This window comes from Homo sapiens, chromosome 10, assembly GCF_000001405.40.
Source record: "Homo sapiens chromosome 10, GRCh38.p14 Primary Assembly".
In the NCBI taxonomy this organism is placed as follows: Eukaryota; Metazoa; Chordata; class Mammalia; order Primates; family Hominidae; genus Homo; species Homo sapiens.
Genome location: NC_000010.11, coordinates 54023269 through 54041791, shown reverse-complemented (window position 1 = coordinate 54041791; position 18523 = coordinate 54023269). Strand labels below are relative to the sequence as shown.

General features: G+C 35.5%; 1 protein-coding gene across 20 annotated transcripts in view; it reads left to right on the top strand.

The window, feature by feature from the left end:
- Positions 1 to 18523, top strand: part of PCDH15 (protocadherin related 15) — a 1825172-nt gene that overhangs the window by 1586151 nt on the left and 220498 nt on the right. The window lies entirely within an intron of this gene.

Here is an 18523-nt window from a genome sequence, read left to right as displayed (position 1 = left end):
AAAGTTTAAGAGTTCTGGATGCTGTTGAATGTCATTTCCTTTTTGAACCCACAATATTGGATTTAAGTACCTATATTTATGTGCTCTCATAGTTCACTTTACTTTTTCATAATGTCCATTAAAATATGAAGTTGTTTATTTTCGTAACTTAATATTTTGGTTGACATTTGTCTTTCCCATTAGAATGTAATTTTCAGGAGGCCGGGTTAAAAGTCCTGCTGTATGCTCTTATTATGCAATGCATATTTACTTTATTACTTAGGTTTATCACTGTAATAATTTTTAAAAGGCAATTATTTTTTAATATCTACTTTTTCACCTTGGTTCAAGTGACATAAGATCAAAGAACACATTACTCTTGTCCTTAGTTAGAGCCCCAGCCCTGAAAATGTTGTTCAGCTTAAAGTCAACAATAAATGTGGGTGAATAAATGAATGAATTGATGGATGAAAACATGTATGGTTAAGTCAAATCAAACTTATAGCATAATTATTTTGTAATGTTATGAATTGATGTATTTGGGGAAAATAATACTATTTTTTAAATTTAGTTAACATTTACTGAGAGGCAAATTCAGTGCTACACTAAAGCATTAATGTGAACAAGGCACATTTTGTGCCCATTAGAACTTGCCACATGCTATCTAACTGGTATGTGGCACTGCATTGGCATCTGCATTCAACATCCAACTTTCTTGCTTTCTTTCTTCTTTCTTAATTTAGTGTGTTAAGCCAGACTCTTCAATTTCAAACAATGTTTAATATTAAGCATATACGTCTACTTCAGGACTTCTTTAAATAGATTTTTTTCCTATTTCAATTCATGTGAGATCCAAAAGGGCCTATTTAAAAGTTACCTGCAACCACATAATATTGATGAAGTTTTAGAGTAAATAATTGCATCCAAATCTTCGTATATTGGCATGCTCATCATTTATGAAGCTTGCCATTACATTTAGACACACATATATGCTAAGCTTGGGAAATTGACATTTTTATAGAGAATTCAAAAAATCACATTTGTAGTGTGACACTCTAGTGGTAATGTTTTTTCATCATGTCTCTGAAATGTATGGTGCACACTGACAGGCCATGCTTTTGTAAAATATTCCTAAACAAGTACCCTTTATTATATATATCTCCATACATACATAATTGTGTCTAACTGGCATGTGGCAGTACATTAGCATCTGCATTCAACATCCAACTTCATTCACAGAACACATTTAGTAACTGAATATAGATGTATTAGCCCATTTTCACGCTGCTGATAAAGACATACCTGAGACAGGGTAATTTATAAAGAAAAAATAGGTTTATTGAACTCACAGTTCCACATGGCTGGGGAGGCCTCACAATCATGGCAGAAAGTAAAAGGCACGTCTTACATGGCAGCAGGCAAGAGAGAATGAGAGCCAAGCAAAGGGGAAACCTCTTATAAAACCATCAGACCAGACCTCATGAGACTTATTCACTACCAAGAGAACAGTATGGAGGAAACCGCCCCCATGATTCAGTTATCTCCCACCAGGTCCCACCCACAACACATGGGAATTAGGGGAGCTACAATTCAAGATGAGATTTGGGTGAGAACACAGCCAAACCATCTCAATAGCAAAGATGGCATCATTTGTCATATTTTAGTTTTACATTTTAAAGAACTAATTATGACTTTTTAAGAGTAATTAAGTAAACAGTATTAGGAAACATAGTGTATGTTTTGTATAGTGCATGATTTGCATGACTAAATAACAAAATAACTCATTAATAAATGAGTGCAATGGATATATATGTTGTCCTTTTCTTCCCCCACCCACTGCCCTCACATAGAATCTTGGGATGTGAAGAGATTGTAGGAAAACAGACATAGTAGGAAGCAATTATATTTTCTTTCTCATTTCTCTTTATTTTGTAATGATAAATTCTTCAGCAGGTTTGAAAACTGATGGCAATAGATGGAGTAAAGAGGGATGTAGAAATGCCAGAAAGAGAGGCAACAGAGTCCCAAAAGCTCAAGTGTCATATGTTCCCTTGAGAACCTAGGAGGAAGTGGAGTTTTCCTCAATTTTAGCAGCAGGAGAATGATAAAGATAAGTACAGATGTTGGATGGTTTATAGATTTATTTTGAAATGAATATTTCAATGTTTCAAAATAATTAGTGGAATTCACAGCTCTGGGCACACTATATACTGTAATTCTCATGACTTCATGGTATGACTTCCATGACTTATCTGAAGTATGTTTTTCCTTCTGTTAGATATCATGTCAGACTAGCTTGCCACAGAGTAAGGGAGACATTGAGGGAACCCACTGACAATTCTCTGTAACTTAGATTTTTATTTTTCTAATGAAATATATGTAAAGTCTGAGGGGCTATGTAATGATAACCTTCAAGTGTGTATTTGTGTGATATGGCCCTTAATCCCCATCATGAAAATAATTCAGAGTGAATTCTAAATTATGTCCAGCTCATCTTTCTATCTCTGGACTCCAATCTATCATGCAGCTAGAATAATTAATAATGCTACACTAGTTATAGCAGCATCCCCTACCTGCACAAAAATTACAAACAGATGGCACATTCATACTCTAAATTCAAATCCAAATACTCTTATTTGCTAGCTAAAGGAAAATGAACTTATTTTTTGTTTTTCTGAAATATTCTTGGCTGTAAAATATGGACAATAATAACTGCCATACTGGGTGTTTATAAGAACTAAAAGAAAAAACCTAAAGTTCATCATATTTAAGACTTCTGTTTCTACTTGGGAAACAAATTCAACAGGAAAATATGAGTTACGTCTCTGGGCACAGGGGTGGAAAATGACAAATATTAGTTTGGATCAAAAAAATCAAACCCTAGACTTTTTCACCTTTGAGGTAATAATGTAGCTGGCTGTTTCATTTGAAAACAATGAATGATATTGTAATAATTTAATATATGTGTGTATGTGTATAAAATTTGCTATATTCTGTTAAGCAAGGATTTTATACTCTAAGAAAAAAACCAATCCAAGATAGAGGCTTGTTATGAAGACTGTGTGCCAAGCAGATCTCCCTTGAAGGTAGAGCTGAATGTCTTGGCTTTTTGGAGTGATGTAGGGATGAAGGAGTAAAGAGGGATGTACAGCTGCTAGCCACTTCAGAGATGACCTTATCTACAGAAGGTTCCCTTGCCCATAGTCACACCCATTTCAGTGTAGCCCATATCCTGACTGATGCCTGAGTGTAAAATGCTGGACATTTTACCCCAGCTCAGAAAAACTGTGACATGCAATTGCAATTCTGCAGCTCCTTCCTTGGGTTGGCCAAGGCTGTAGTTGACCCTGCACAGTAGTTTGACTTTCTCCCTGAATCCAATTCTGGTCTTGTCCTTTGCCCTCCAAAAATGTTGACCCCCAAAGCATACCCCAACAAAACTCTTGCAACTAATCTCTGCCTCATTGTCTGCTTGCCAGAGAACCCACCTGCAAACACCTTTATACAGTATAGCTTTTTCTTCAAGTCATACAAGAATCAAAGTGAGAGGCTCTTTTTTAAAAAATCTAAGTGCAGTCTGCAAAATAAATAAATCAGACAGTATTTCTTTGGCTTGCTTTCCCACTATTTAGTTTATGATATCTCAGAAGAATTAGTTCATTGGGATTTCTGAAACCAAGCTCTGGAAATATTCCCTATGTGTGTCATAATTCAAAACGTGGATATATAGCAAATACAGCCTCTTTTTCACTGTCTTATTCCTTCTATGTGAACATTTTTATGAGGAGATCCTCTGAGCCCAGTCTTTTCTAATGGTTTTATGACTTCTCAGTATCATACTCATCCAACTCTGCACAGACAGATTTCTGTCAAAAGCAATCAGTCTTTATGAAAGTAGCAGGAGTAATGTTTCCTCTGGGCAAACCAAATCAAAGTGGTTCACACTTGTCATGTTAGACGTAACTTCAGTCTCCATTTAGACTCCTCAGACTTTAAGTTTGAAATAAGTCAATAACTTCTTTCTTTATTATCTGCAAAGATTCTTGGTAGATAGGTTGTAGAGTTTCTGTTTCTCAAAGCAATACACATTTTTAATACAAGCATATTTCAGACATATTGAGAGTTCTCTTCCAGACCACAGTAATACAGCAAATGTTGCAACAAAGCGAGTCACATAAGGTTTTAGGTTTCCCAGTGCATATAAATATTATTTTTACACTATACTATACTCCATTAAGTATACTCCATACTGCAATTAGCATTGTGTCTGAAAAACAGTGTCCATACCTTAATTAAAGTGTTTTATGGCTTAAAAAAATACTGTCAATCATCTGAACCTTCAGCAAGTCTTAATCTTTATACAGATAGAGGGTCTTGTCTCACTGTCGGTGGCTGCTCACTGATTAGGAGGGTGGTTGCTGAAGTTGGGATGGCTGTGTCAGTTTCTTAAAATAAGACAACAATGAATTGTGCTGCATTGAATACTTCTTGCTTTCATTAAATTTTTTTCTGTAGCTAGTGATGCTGTTTGATAGCATTGTAGCTAAATAAGTTTTTTTCAGAATTGGAGTCAATCTTCTTAATCCTTGCTGCAAAGTATATAAAATATTCTAAATTATCTGTTGCTATTTCAACAATGTTCACAGCATCTTCATTAGGAGTAGGTATCATATCAAGAAACCACTTTCTTTGCTCTTCCATAAAAAGCAACTCCTCAACTGTTCAAGTTTATCATAAGATTACAGCAATTCACTCACATCTTCAGGCTCCACCTCTAATTCTAGTTCTCACCATGTCTATCACATCTGCAATTCCTTCATCCAACTGAAGTCTTAAACCTCTCTTGAACCTCTCAGAGTCATTCATGAAGGAAGAAATCAACTTCTTCCAAGCTTCTATTAATGTTGATATTTTTACCTCCTTCCATGAATCAAAAATGTTGCTATTGGCATCTAGAATGGTGAATCATTTCCATAAGATTTTTAGTTCACTTTGCGCAGATCCATCAGAGGAATAACTATCAATGACAGCTATAATCTTATGAAATTTATTTCTTATATAATAAGATGAAAACCTCAAATTTACTCCTTTATCCATGAGCTGCAGAGTGGAAGTTGTGTTAACAGGCAAGAAAACAACACTGATGTCCTTTTACATCTCCATCAGAACTCTTGAGTGACCAGGTGCATTCTCAATGAGCAGTAATGTTTAGAAAGAAGTCTTTTTTTTTTCCTGAGCAGTAGGACTCAACCATGGGCTTAAAATACTTGCTAAACTATGCTGTAAACATAGTTTATGCTTCCATAAATATATGCTTTTATTAGGCATTGTTATTCCATTTATTGATCACAGACAGAGTAAATTTAACAGAATTCTTAAGTGCACTAGGATTTTCAGAATGGTCAATAAATATTGGCTTCAACTTAAAGTCACCAGCTCTTAGCACCTAACAAGAAAGTCAGCCCATCCTTTGAAACCTTGAATCTAGGCATTGACCTCTCTGTTTTAAGTTACGGAAGTTCTAGATGGCATATTCTAATAGAAAACTGTTTTATCTACATTGGAAATCTGTTTTTTTAGCGTAGCCACCCTCTACAAATATCTTAGCTGGATTTTCTGGATAACTAGCTGCAACACCTTCTGCATCTGCACTTGCTGCTTCACCTTGCACTTTTATGTTATGGAGATGGCTTTTTATTTTTCCCTTAAATTTCATGAACCCACCTCTACTAGCTTCAGACTTTTCTTCTGCAGCTTCCTTCCCTCTCTCAAGCTCCAGAGAAAGGAAGAGAGTTAAGGTCTTGCTCCAGATTAGGCTTTGGCTTACGGGAATGTTGTGGCTAGTTTGATCTTCTATCCAGACCACTCAAACTTTCTTCACATCAGCTTCACATCAGGTTGTTTTACTTTCCTATGATTTGTGTTTGCACTGGAGTAGAACTTTTAATTTATGAAATATCTTTTCCATTGCGTTCACAATGTGGCTAACTGGCACAAGAGGCCAAGTTTTTAAGCTTTCTCAGCTTTTGACCTACCTTTCTCACTAAGCTTAATCATTTCTAGCTTTTAATTTCAAATCAGAGACACACAACTCTTTCACTTAAACACTTAGAGCCCATACATAGTGGGGTTATTAATTGGCCTAATTTTAATTTCACTGTGTCTCAGAGAATAGGAAGGCTCAAGGAAAGTGAGAAAGATGGGGGAATGGTCAGTGGGTGGAGAAATCAGAACACATACACCATCTCATCTTGGACCATGTGTCAAAAAAATGTATACATAGAACCTTTATTAATTAAATTTGCTCTCATATGGTGTGTTCTGCGGCACCCCAACACAACCACAATAGTAACTTAAAAGATCACTAATCATAGATCACCATAACAGATCCAGTAGTAATTTAAAAGTTTGTCATATTCTGAGAATTACCAAAATGTGCCTCAGAGACATGAAATGAGCACACGCTGTTGGAAAAATGGTGCCAATATATTTGCTTAAGGCATCTTTGTCAGAAGCCTTCAATTTGTAAAAAATGCAACGTCCGTGAAGCACAATAAAGCCACGTGCAATGAAACAGAGTGTGCCTGTAAACTTACCACTTCTATTTTATCTCAGATTCCAGTTCTAGTATACAGTATCATTTAATTCTACTGACTAGACTGCTCCTGTGGAACAGTTACACTCCATAAATAACATGTCATTGAAAACATTCTGTTATTCTCAGGAAAATTTCTGCTTGGCCAATTGATATTGAAATATTCCTCTTATTGCCTACATGCTAACAATTAACAAAGGAATGGCATCCAAATGAAGTTTCCTACACTTTTTAATCTCCAATCTGGCTTATTTTACCTTTACCAGAAAGAAAAAAGGATGTTAATAAAGTACCTGGCCCTTTTATATATCTGTAACTTCTAAAAATGTGTGTATATAATTAATATTAAGGTAAGCAGCAGTACTGTTTACACCACAATTAAAGAAAACAAACTGACAGCACTTTTCATAAAGCCTGCTGCTGAGGAATGATTCTAAAATAGTTACCTACTATTTACATAGTAGCACACAGGAAGGTACTAGGAAAGTATATCTGAAGGAAGGCAGCTGGAAAAGGAAGGACACAGCAGAATCTGAGTTCATAACTTCTAATTCAAAAGGCAGTTTCACATTGTGTACATCTTAGCTCTTTGAATGCAGTCCCAGGGAGTAGATAGAGAAACATAAGTTGTTTCTTCCAATTAATTCTGTTTTCCTAATTTAAATTACTGTGTTGGACAAGACATTAGAAAACATGATCCTCAGTTACTTCAGTGAATTGTTGTCAGCAAAATGAATACCTAACATACATTTTTAAATCAACCAATTTGGAGACATCCCAAATTAAGGTAATGAAACAGCTGAAAATTACTAAACTAGCTCAAGGAATGAGTGATGATAAAATAAAACTGGAACCTATATCTGGCTCTATCCCTGTGATGTTATCAAGGTAGGTCAAATTGTGACAATGTGTGTAAAATAGAGAAAAACACCTTTAATTTTATGGGTATTGTTTGGGAAAAACGTGAGCTTATATTCAGCAAATGAAATGATTGATAGTATTGGGAAATTAAGAGATATTTTTCTCTCATTAAATAGTTATTATATTAGCCAGAGGCATTTTTATTGCTCTTGTTTTACTTACAATTCTGTTAATCCTTTACTTGAATGTTATCCAGAAAATTTAATTGTATAGAATTTCACAGAGAATCCAATCTGGCTGTCACATTCTTTTCAGTTTCCAGTTAAGAATTTTTTTTCTAGAAATGATACAAGAAAATGATTTGTGAGACAATGTAATATAATGAAAAGCCCTGTGACAGAAGGACAATGCTTAAGGTATACATTACTCTTGACTCTTCAGAGAAGGGCATGGGCATGTTTATATTGAACCCAACAGAATACTAGAAAAAAGAAAATTAAAACTTGGATTAGTATATAGGACCTATAAAAACACCTGATAAGCAAAATGTCACATATTCAATAAGCATAGAGAAGACTATTTAAAATAGTTATTCAGAAAACAAACCACAATACTTTGTGTTATAACTTGGCAGAAAATGTAAGCATAATCAAATAAATAGGAAGGCCTGGGCTAAGCAGATTATCACATAAAATGCAATTCATGGAGATGGTATTTTTCCCTTATTTCATTACTTAAGAAGTGATGAGTATTGAGTACAAGCTCAGAGATACCCTGAGTTGCCCCATATAGTAATATGGACAGACATTTTAGAAAGTGATGCCACTGTAATGAGTGCTGAAAGAACAATGCTTATGTGGAAATGTTTATGGTATATAAGGAAGTTACAGAGGACTCTCTTTTGGCTAGAGCATGCATTCTCAACGGTGGTAGATCATTTCCAATGTGGAAAATCAGGTTTTGGGAGACAAGAAAACCTTACTTTTCTTATGTATAAAGCATGGATAATATATATACATAAATATATCTGTGGAAGTACAAATTTATAAGGGTTCTATTAGAAAGAAAAAAATCTTAAAATCCTCTTTTGACAGGAGTTGATAATGAAAAAGGTTAAGCAATGCTAGAATAGACTGTTAAAAGTTAAACTAATATATTTAATTATACAAAAATAGGTATATATATTGTACTTACTTTAAAACTGACCTAGAAATAGATTTCCTTAAAGAATTCTAGGTGACTGATATGGTTTGGCTGTGTGTACCAACCCAAATCTCATCTCGATTTGTAATCCCCATGTGTTGAGGGAGGGACCTATAATCCCCACTTGTCCAAGGAGCGGGGTGACTGGATCATGGGGGAGGCTTCCCCCATGCTCTTCTTATGACAGTGAGTGAGTTCTTACTAGATCTGATGGTTTTATAAGTGATTGGGAGTTCCTTCTTCACTCTTTTCTGTCACCAGGTAAAGAAGTTGCCTGCTTCCCCTTCACCATCCACCATGATTGTAAGTTTCCTGAGACCTCCCCAGCCATGTGAAACTGAGTCAATTAAACCTCTTTCATTTATAAATCCCCCAGTTTCTGGGAAGTTATTTATAGCATTGTGAAAACTGACTAATATAGTGACAAAATTGAAAACAAGAAAGCAATAAAATGTAACAAAAGGACAAAGTTTAATAAGTAGTTATGTGATCACTTAAGTTTTATTTAAAGAACAAAATGTGTCTTATTTTCTTATATTTCTTCTAATAAACAGAAAACATACCTTCTTTTAAGACAAAATTATAAATACTAATTGGCAATTTTTATTTCTTCATGTGTTTGGGTGGTTGGGGTGGGAATGATATGTAATTGAAAAATGGAAATAGCTTCAGAAGAAATTTTGGCAGAAATTATTGCATATCTAACCTATGTCATTGCAAAAAGAAAAATAAAGCAGGCATTGTATGATATAAATAAGCCATCCTGTCCTTATGAATTCTTAATTTCATGTGGGCTATTAAAAAATGACAGAAAAAAAGCAATAGGGCATGTGGTAAAGAAACATACAATGAGCTTCAGGAGCATGAAGATGAGGCATTTAGCTTACTCAGATGCTTCTGAGAGGTGATACTAGGGCTGAAGAATAATCAGTTTTGGAAATAAGGGGAAGATTTTATGACTGGATAAAGCAGACATGAAATAGCATGGTTAGTATGGCAAAATGCACTTAGATTTAGTGGTAAGAATATGTTCGCCCACAGAGAAAAAGATGAGAATGAAGAAGTTGGAGAAATAGAAGTAAGAAGAGGTTGGAAAACTAAATATAATTTAATATATAATTTTTTTTACCATCACATAAAGAGGTATATACACACTCAACCTATACTGCATAATTATCAAATACTAAGCAATGGTGGGGAAATATGAAATGAGTCCTCCCAGGTTTTCCTCTTCGTTTTCAGCACTATAAGGAATATTTGAAAAAGGGAAAAGACAGCCTTACTATGTAAATACATTTAATGAACATGAAACAACATTACTTTCTTTCTTTGCTGTATGAGCGTGAACATGACAACAACTCTTTTCCTGAAGCATTGATGTCATAATCTTCAAGTGTTTACCATTAACATGAGAACTGAATATGTAAAGGTTTTTAGTGCAAAGTTTCTTCCTAATGCTTACTTAGTAAGAGGCCTGCAGGTTATGTTGGAACAGCTTAAACTGTCTTATTTAATTTGACACCTTCAGTTCATTTGCGTTAAATAACACCCAACTACAGGAATATTGTTTATTTTTATTTGCTTGCTATCTTTTTTTTTTCCTTCTCTACCATATTTCCATCTGTGCTCCAACTTTCCACTTCTCATACATTGTACACTCCACAAAACAATTTACAGATTCTTTTCTCTAACAGTGTCTCCTATTACATAATACATGGATACACCACAGATTTTTAGGCCAATTATTTAATTGCGTAGCATACTTAAATAGCAATAAAAAGTGAGTTTTGCTATGTGCAAGAGGGACCAGAAGGCTGGATGGAAAGAAGAGGTTTCCCAGATGAAGTAGAACTGAAGCTAGGTTTTGAACGTTTAAGTTGGATTGGGGGAAAATAAAAACAAACAAAAAAAAAACCTATATCAGGGAAGGTGAGGGAGAGCATGGTCATTTCAAGGAAAACCAGGGTAGTACATTGTAAAAGTGTTTCTGATTTATCACTGTCCCACTGTGTGAGGGAATGGAATTTCTGCACCCCTTGACATCGGCCTTGTCATGTGATTTGCCTTCAACGATGAAGCAGGAGTATAGGTGATACGTTGACCTCCAAGCAGAAGCGTTAAAAGCTGCAGCTTGGCTATCTCATGTCTTTTTTTCTTCTTGCACCACATGAGCTTCATATTCCAATGAAGCCTGCTCCTTTAGCTTCTCTTCTGAGTAAAGACAAGATAGAGTAAAGCTGGATTTGGAATTCACAGTGGGTGCTGTATAGGCGAGAAAGAAACATCAGTGGTAACAAACCACTGACACTTGAGAGTTTCTTGGTGGTGATTCATACCATAAATAGACTCCTTTGACTAAAACACAGAGTTTGTGTCAGAGAGTTAGTCTGAGGGATATAAATGCATAAAGATAGGTTAGAACAAGACCAGGTAGAGCCTTGAATGCTAGGATAAAATGTAGTTTATTGTGTATCTTAGAATAATAGCTGACCCCTTGAGAAATTATTTGTGTTAAATATGTGTTTTCTAGGGACTAGATTTCTAGGGACTAGAATGAAAAGCTATTCATTCTGGTTATGTTTTTAGTGATTTTAATTCAAGTTATGCAAGTTATCTTCTGGCCAGTAAGTCTACTTGCCATTGTTCAATAATGATTATGAGGCATTTGTGTGGAGAGTGAAAAAATTTACCTGCATTATGAGTCTTTAAATTGCTTGTCTCCTTTTACACTAATAATCACAGCCCTTGAAATAGCTCAGCTCCTTAAAAAAAAAAAAAAAAAGACAACTATTGTACATCTTTTTGAAGTTAATAGATAATAATTTTAAAAATGTATTTTCACTAATAATGTCATGAAGGATGCACTGCCCAACCTCCCTGATCAACAGCTTTTATGGTTCCCACTTCAAAGTGAGAAAGATGTACACGACCTCTTAAATCGCTGTAAAGGACAAGCAAAAGGTAGAGCAAAGCACTCTCTCAGCTTCACACTGGGCCAATTAGGTGCTACATGGTAGTTCACACCTTTATAATAGCTATAACATTTTGGTTTTGTCCTCAAGTTATTTCCTTGGGGCTGATTTTTGTCATAAAATTTTCTATCTAAATAATTAATCTGAATGGATATTTGACATATTTTAAATGGAAATGAATCATTGTAAATTACACAAGTAACCTACCCAGGGACTTCTCAGTGGAAGGAGTGCAAACATCAACCTGTTCTTTGAGGTTTTATCCTAGTATATTCCACCCATACAGGCATGCTTTAAGGTCTTCTCTACAGGACTGGTAACCCCCAGGGTAGCAAACCCAGTAATGGACTTCCACTTTTATGGATGGAAAGAATTGTGTAACAGACCATTCTAAGAAGATAATGAGAAAAAAAGGGGTGGGGAATGAATTTAGTGTTTAAGAAATATATTTCCCTTTTCCCTTTTCAAGTGGCATGCTATAAAATCGCTTCTCAAAAATTATACAAAAAACTTTGGTTCAATAAATTCCCTTGACTTTTTTCTTAAGTAATTACTTGGTTGTCTTTCATATACTCTAACTTTGGTGTTAATGAATAAGGTTTGCAAGTGGTGTTTCTGGCAATTATTCAAAGTTCTGTCCAGTGAGGTCTTTATTTGACTACAGGCTATCAGCCAATTTCCCAGCAATATGCATTCACAAATTAGTAGCCACAAATCAGGCCCCATAGTAAGGTGTATATTACAAAAATGTGTTAACCATGGACAGATGATTATAAAGTTGCAGCTATTACTGTTCATTGCTTTGATGTAGTACAAGGGGAAAAGAGATGTGTTATTTTTCTTATTAACAAATTTAATTAACTTTTAATTGATTTCTAGGAAAATATATATTTTCATTATAGCATCATACACTGAGCTGCTTGACTAAATATTAAACATCAATGCAAAGTTCTTGACAGTACTGCTGATAATAAGGGATTCTATGTTTGGTTATCTTGTTTAACATCTACATGTTCATCTAGAATAGTAAAGAAGTAAAACTGCCTTGCTTAGCCAGCTCATGTTGCTTAACTTACATCACCTTATTTATGCTCCTTAATTTAATGGGGACATAGGAATAGATAAGGAAATAGCTCTGCATTTTATATTCTGTTCCCTTTGTTTCCATTAGATGTGTGTCTCAGTCACCTTAAAATTTTTAGAGTAGCTTTCTGGGGGATATTGTAGTCTTTTTTTTATTATTATTATACTTTAAGTTTTAGGGTACATGTGCACATTGTGCAGGTTAGTTACATATGTATACATGTGCCATGCTGGTGCGCTGCACCCACTAACTCGTCATCTAGCATTAGGTATATCTCCCAATGCTATCCCTCCCCCCTCCCCCCACCCCACAACAGTCCCCAGAGTGTGATATTCCCCTTCCTGTGTCCATGTGATCTCATTGTTCAATTCCCACCTATGAGTGACAATATGCGGTGTTTGGTTTTTTGTTCTTGCGATAGTTTACTGAGAATGATGATTTCCAATTTCATCCATGTCCCTACAAAGGACATGAACTCATCATTTTTTATGGCTGCATAGTATTCCATGGTGTATATGTGCCACATTTTCTTAATCCAGTCTATCATTGTTGGACATTTGGGTTGGTTCCAAGACTTTGCTATCGTGAATAATGCCACAATAAACATATGTGTGCATGTGTCTTTATAGCAGCATGATTTCTAGTCCTTTGGGTATATACCCAGTAATGGGATGGCTGGGTCAAATGGTATTTCCAGTTCTAGATCCCTGAGGAATCGCCACACTGACTTCCACAATGGTTGAACTAGTTTACAGTCCCACCAACAGTGTAAAAGTGTTCCTATTTCTCCACATCCTCTCCAGCACCTGTAGTTTCCTGACTTTTTAATGATTGCCATTCTAACTGGTGTGAGATGGTATCTCATTGTGGTTTTGATTTGCATTTCTCTGATGGCCAGTGATGATGAGCATTTTTTCATGTGTTTTTTGGCTGCATAAATGTCTTCTTTTGAGAAGTGTCTGTTCATGTCCTTCGCCCACTTTTTGATGGGGTTGTTTGTTTTTTTCTTGTAAATTTGAGTTCATTGTAGATTCTGGATATTAGCCCTTTGTCAGATGAGTAGGTTGCAAAAATTTTCTCCCATTGTGTGGGTTGCCTGTTCACTCTGATGGTAGTTTCTTTTGCTGTGCAGAAGCTCTTGAGTTTAATTCGATCCCATTTGTCAATTTTGTCTTTTGTTGCCATTGCTTTTGGTGTTTTAGACATGAAGTCCTTGCCCATGCCTATGTCCTGAATGGTAATGCCTAGGTTTTCTTCTATGGTTTTTATGGTTTTAGGTCTAACGTTTAAGTCTTTAATCCATCTTGAATTGATTTTTGTATAAGGTGTAAGGAAGGGATCCAGTTTCAGCTTTCTCCATATGGCTAGCCAGTTTTCCCAGCACCATTTATTAAATAGGGAATCCTTTCCCCATTGCTTGTTTTTCTCAGGTTTGTCAAAGATCAGATAGTTGTAGATATGCAGCATTATTTCTGAGGGCTCTGTTCTGTTCCATTGATCTATATCTCTGTTTTGGTACCAGTACCATGCTGTTTTGGTTACTGTAGCCTTGTAGTATAGTTTGAAGTCAGGTAGTGTGATGCCTCCAGCTTTGTTCTTTTGGCTTAGGATTGACTTGGCGATGAAGGCTCTATTTTGGTTCCATATGAACTTTAAAGTAGTTTTTTCCAATTCTGTGAAGAAAGGCATTGGTAGCTTGATGGGGATGGCATTGAATCTGTAAATTACTTTGGGCAGTATGGCCATTTTCACGATATTGATTCTTCCTATCCATGAGCATGGAATGTTCTTCCATTTGTTTCTATCCTCTTTTATTTCCTTGAGCAGTGGTTTGTAGTTCTCCTTGAAGAGGTCCTTCACATCCCTTGTAAGTTGGATTCCTAGGTATTTTATCCTCTTTGAAGCAATTGTGAATGGGAGTTCACTCATGATTTGGCTCTCTGTTTGTCTGTTGTTGGTGTATAAGAATGCTTGTGATTTTTGTACATTGATTTTGTATCCTGAGACTTTGCTGAAGTTGCTTATCAGCTTAAGGAGATTTTGGGCTGAGACAATGGGGTTTTCTAGATATACAATCATGTCGTCTGCAAACAGGGACAATTTGACTTCCTCTTTTCCTAATTGAATACCCTTTATTTCCTTCTCCTGCCTAATTGCCCTGGCCAGAACTTCCAACACTATGTTGAATAGGAGTGGTGAGAGAGGGCATCCCTGTCTTGTGCCAGTTTTCAAGGGGAATGCTTCCAGTTTTTGCCCATTCAGTATGATACTGGCTGTGGGTTTGTCATAGATAGCTCTTATTATTTTGAGATAAGTCCCATCAATACCTAATTTATTGAGAGTTTTTAGCATGAAGTGTCGTTGAATTTTGTCAAACGCTTTTTCTGCATCTACTGTCAAGTGGACTTCATCCCTGGGATGCAAAGCTGGTTCAATATACGCAAATCAGTAAATGTAATCCAGCATATAAACAGAGCCAAAGATATTGTAGTCTTTTTTTCCATAAGCATCAAATATACTTCTTGTCATGGTAGCTTTGAATTCAGTGAATTAAGTTGTCATAGATTCAGTCAAAATGTGTGTGTACTTGACATATCGTAATTTATACCAATTTAAACTGATTATTTAAAATTCTGAAACTCTATTGGTGAGGATGCCCCATTTAGCATTTACTGTCAGTCTGCTTAATGAATATCTGCTTGGATATTTTCTCTAAAAACTCCTATCCGGCCAGGTGAGATGGCTCATGCCTGTAATCTCAGCACTTTGAGAAGCCAAAGGGGGAGGATGGCTCAAGCCCAGAAGTTCAAAACTGACCTGGGCAACAAGAGGAAACCCCGTTTCTGATAAAAATACAAAAAATTAGCCAGGCCTGGGGGCATGTGCTTGTAGTGCCAGCTGCGCAGGACGCTGAGGTGGGAGGATTGCTTGAGCCTGGGAGGTGAAGGTTGCAGTGAGCCTAGATCACACCACTGCACACCAGCATGGGTGACAGAGCAAGACCTGTTTCAAAAAAAAAAAAAAATCCCATCCTAAAATATAGATTGCTATATATTTATATATGGCAGTATACACACACTTGCACACATGTGCACACACATATATCAAGGTTAAAAATTCTGAGATGGGGATACTATCCTGGATTGTCCAAGGGAGCATAATGTAATCTTACATGCCCTTAAAAGTGAAGGAGGATGCCTGAAGAGTAGGTCAGAAAGATAAAATGGAAAAAGATGGAGGGAGGGATTCAAAAAATGTGAGGGGCTTGACCACCATTGCTGGCTTTAAAAATGGAAGAAATGGCCAGGCGCAGTGGCTCACGCCTGTAATCCCAGCACTTTGGGAGGCCGAGGCGGGTGGATCACAAGGTCAGGGGTTTGAGACCAGCCTGACCAACATGGTGAAACCCGGTCTCTACTAAAAATGCAAAAATTAGCTGGGCATGGTGACAGGTGCCTGTAATCCCAGCTACTCAGGAGGCTGAGGCAGGAGAATTGCTTGAACCCAGAAGGCGGAGGTTGCAGTGAGCCGAGATCGCACCACTGCACTCCAGCCTGGGCAACAGAGCAAGGCTTGGTCTCAAAAAAAAAAAAAAAAATGGTGGAAATGTGTCATGAACCAAGGGATATGGGGACCTCTAGCAACCGGGATTGGTCCTCACATGACAACCATCAAGGAAGTGGGGATCTCAGTTCTACAAACTCTAGCAACTGAATTCTGTCAACAACTTGAATGAGCAAAGAAGTTGTTTCTCCTTAGAGTCTCCAGAAAGAAACATAGCCCTGGTGAGACCATCTTGAATTTTTGACCTATAGAGCTTTAAAATAATGAACTTGTTTTGTGTCAGCTGCTAAATTTGTGATAATTTGCTATGGGAGCAAAAACAAAACTAATTTAGATATGTTTAGATATGTTTCCTAGTGGATGTATAGTTAAGCAGCTGGACATGTATAAAACACACGGACACACAGCCACATCAGTCAAATTGAGCCATTCTACCATAATAAATATTCAATTATATGGGTCAATAAAAACAACTTGAACAAGAGTCATTTAAATTTCTAATTGCATAAATGATTAGTTTTTTTGATCTTAAGATATTCCATAGACAGAAAAAGTGACTGAAATTTTTAAGGGTATTATTATTATGAAACAAAACATATTTATATTTTGTTCTTGGCTTACAATTTTATCTATTTACTTGATGAGTAATTTCAGACCAAAAAAAGAGATCACCCTCTTTTTTTGGTGAAAAAGGGAGAAGGCAGTGTTGGTTGTTTTCACTAGAATGATCAGCTTGACTGATTTGTCAATAATTCGTAAGACAAATTCTAGGCAAAGTATAAAAGTAAAAGAAACTATATCAACAGAAACTATTCTACTCTGTCACCGTATTTTTTCTCTTCAGGTATTTCTGCAATTCTTCTATCTTTTCTCAGAATTAAACCTCAGAGATGTCAAACTCCCAGGGGCAGTTGTGTTTTGATGAGTCAAAGAGACAAATCCTGCTGAAATGCTTGGCATTATGACATATAGGAGCACTGTTGTAAACATGATTTTCACATCTTAGACATTCTTGTTTCAAAGAAGATGCAAATATTCAGCATCCCCATTCTGCATGCTTTACCATTGCCTGTAAAACTGGATATACCACTGCATATGTGCTGTTAAAATACATCATATTGCATTCCACGCTTTATGGACCTCGAGTGATTTTTGTGTCCCTGGCTCATAAGGCAGCCAAGTGTCTTGTTTTCCTTCCTTTCCTTGTTGACAGTTTGGGGCATAATTATATAATATTTTACAGTTTCTAAGATTTATTTCAGTTTCTTTTACATGGAACTTTTCAAAACAAAATATACAGTAGCTGATAGTGAGATTCATAATTAGTATCACAATTGAGTTTTAGCTAAGATTAATTCTTATTACATTTCATTCGATGAATATTTACTCAATATTTTCTCATTTTATTTGATGCAAAGTGATTTTACATGACTTCAAATTTTCAGTAAATATAGGTATATTATGGTATCAAACATTCTTACTTATGCAGAGATGTATATTCTAATGTTGAAAAAGAGTCCCTTGCACATACATTACAGTTACTGTAGTTTTAATCCTATTTGACTTTTGGAACAGATTTAGTTTCAAATCTGTTTTATTTCATCTAATGTTCATTAATTCCACAAGCATTTGTTAAGTACTTTTATATATGAAGTATTGTGTTAAGAACTGGGACACTGAGATATTTCTTTCTTGTGTAACCTTCCATAAGCCACAGTGTTCTCATTTGTAAAATGAGATTAATAATATTTACTCATAACAACATCATGAGGATTAAGTCAGGTTATACTTATAAATATTATTTATGGTAAATATGATTAATGTTTATTATAATAAACATTATCACATAAATAACAGCATAACATAATAAAATATTATTTATTATAAACAAACATAATGTGTAACATTATTACTAAACATATATAAATATAAAATGAATATATACAGTGAGCAAAAACCTACATAATCTTAAATTGTCACTCGGCAGATTATGTTAAATGAATTACAAACAAAATTTTTTCTCACTTTAGAATTCAAAACCTATTAAAATCATAAGACAAAGATTCAGTATTTTTATGAGTTTTCTGTCATAACATAGTATTGTTATTGCTAATGACATTATCCGTTTTTGTTATGTTAATTTTAAATGAAGAATATTAAAGTATAATATTTTTCATGTTTTAAATTTTGCATTGTATTGTCATTGTCATTTCCTCCTTAGAGGGCCAAATAATTTTTGGTTAGAAAAATACCATAATTTGTTAA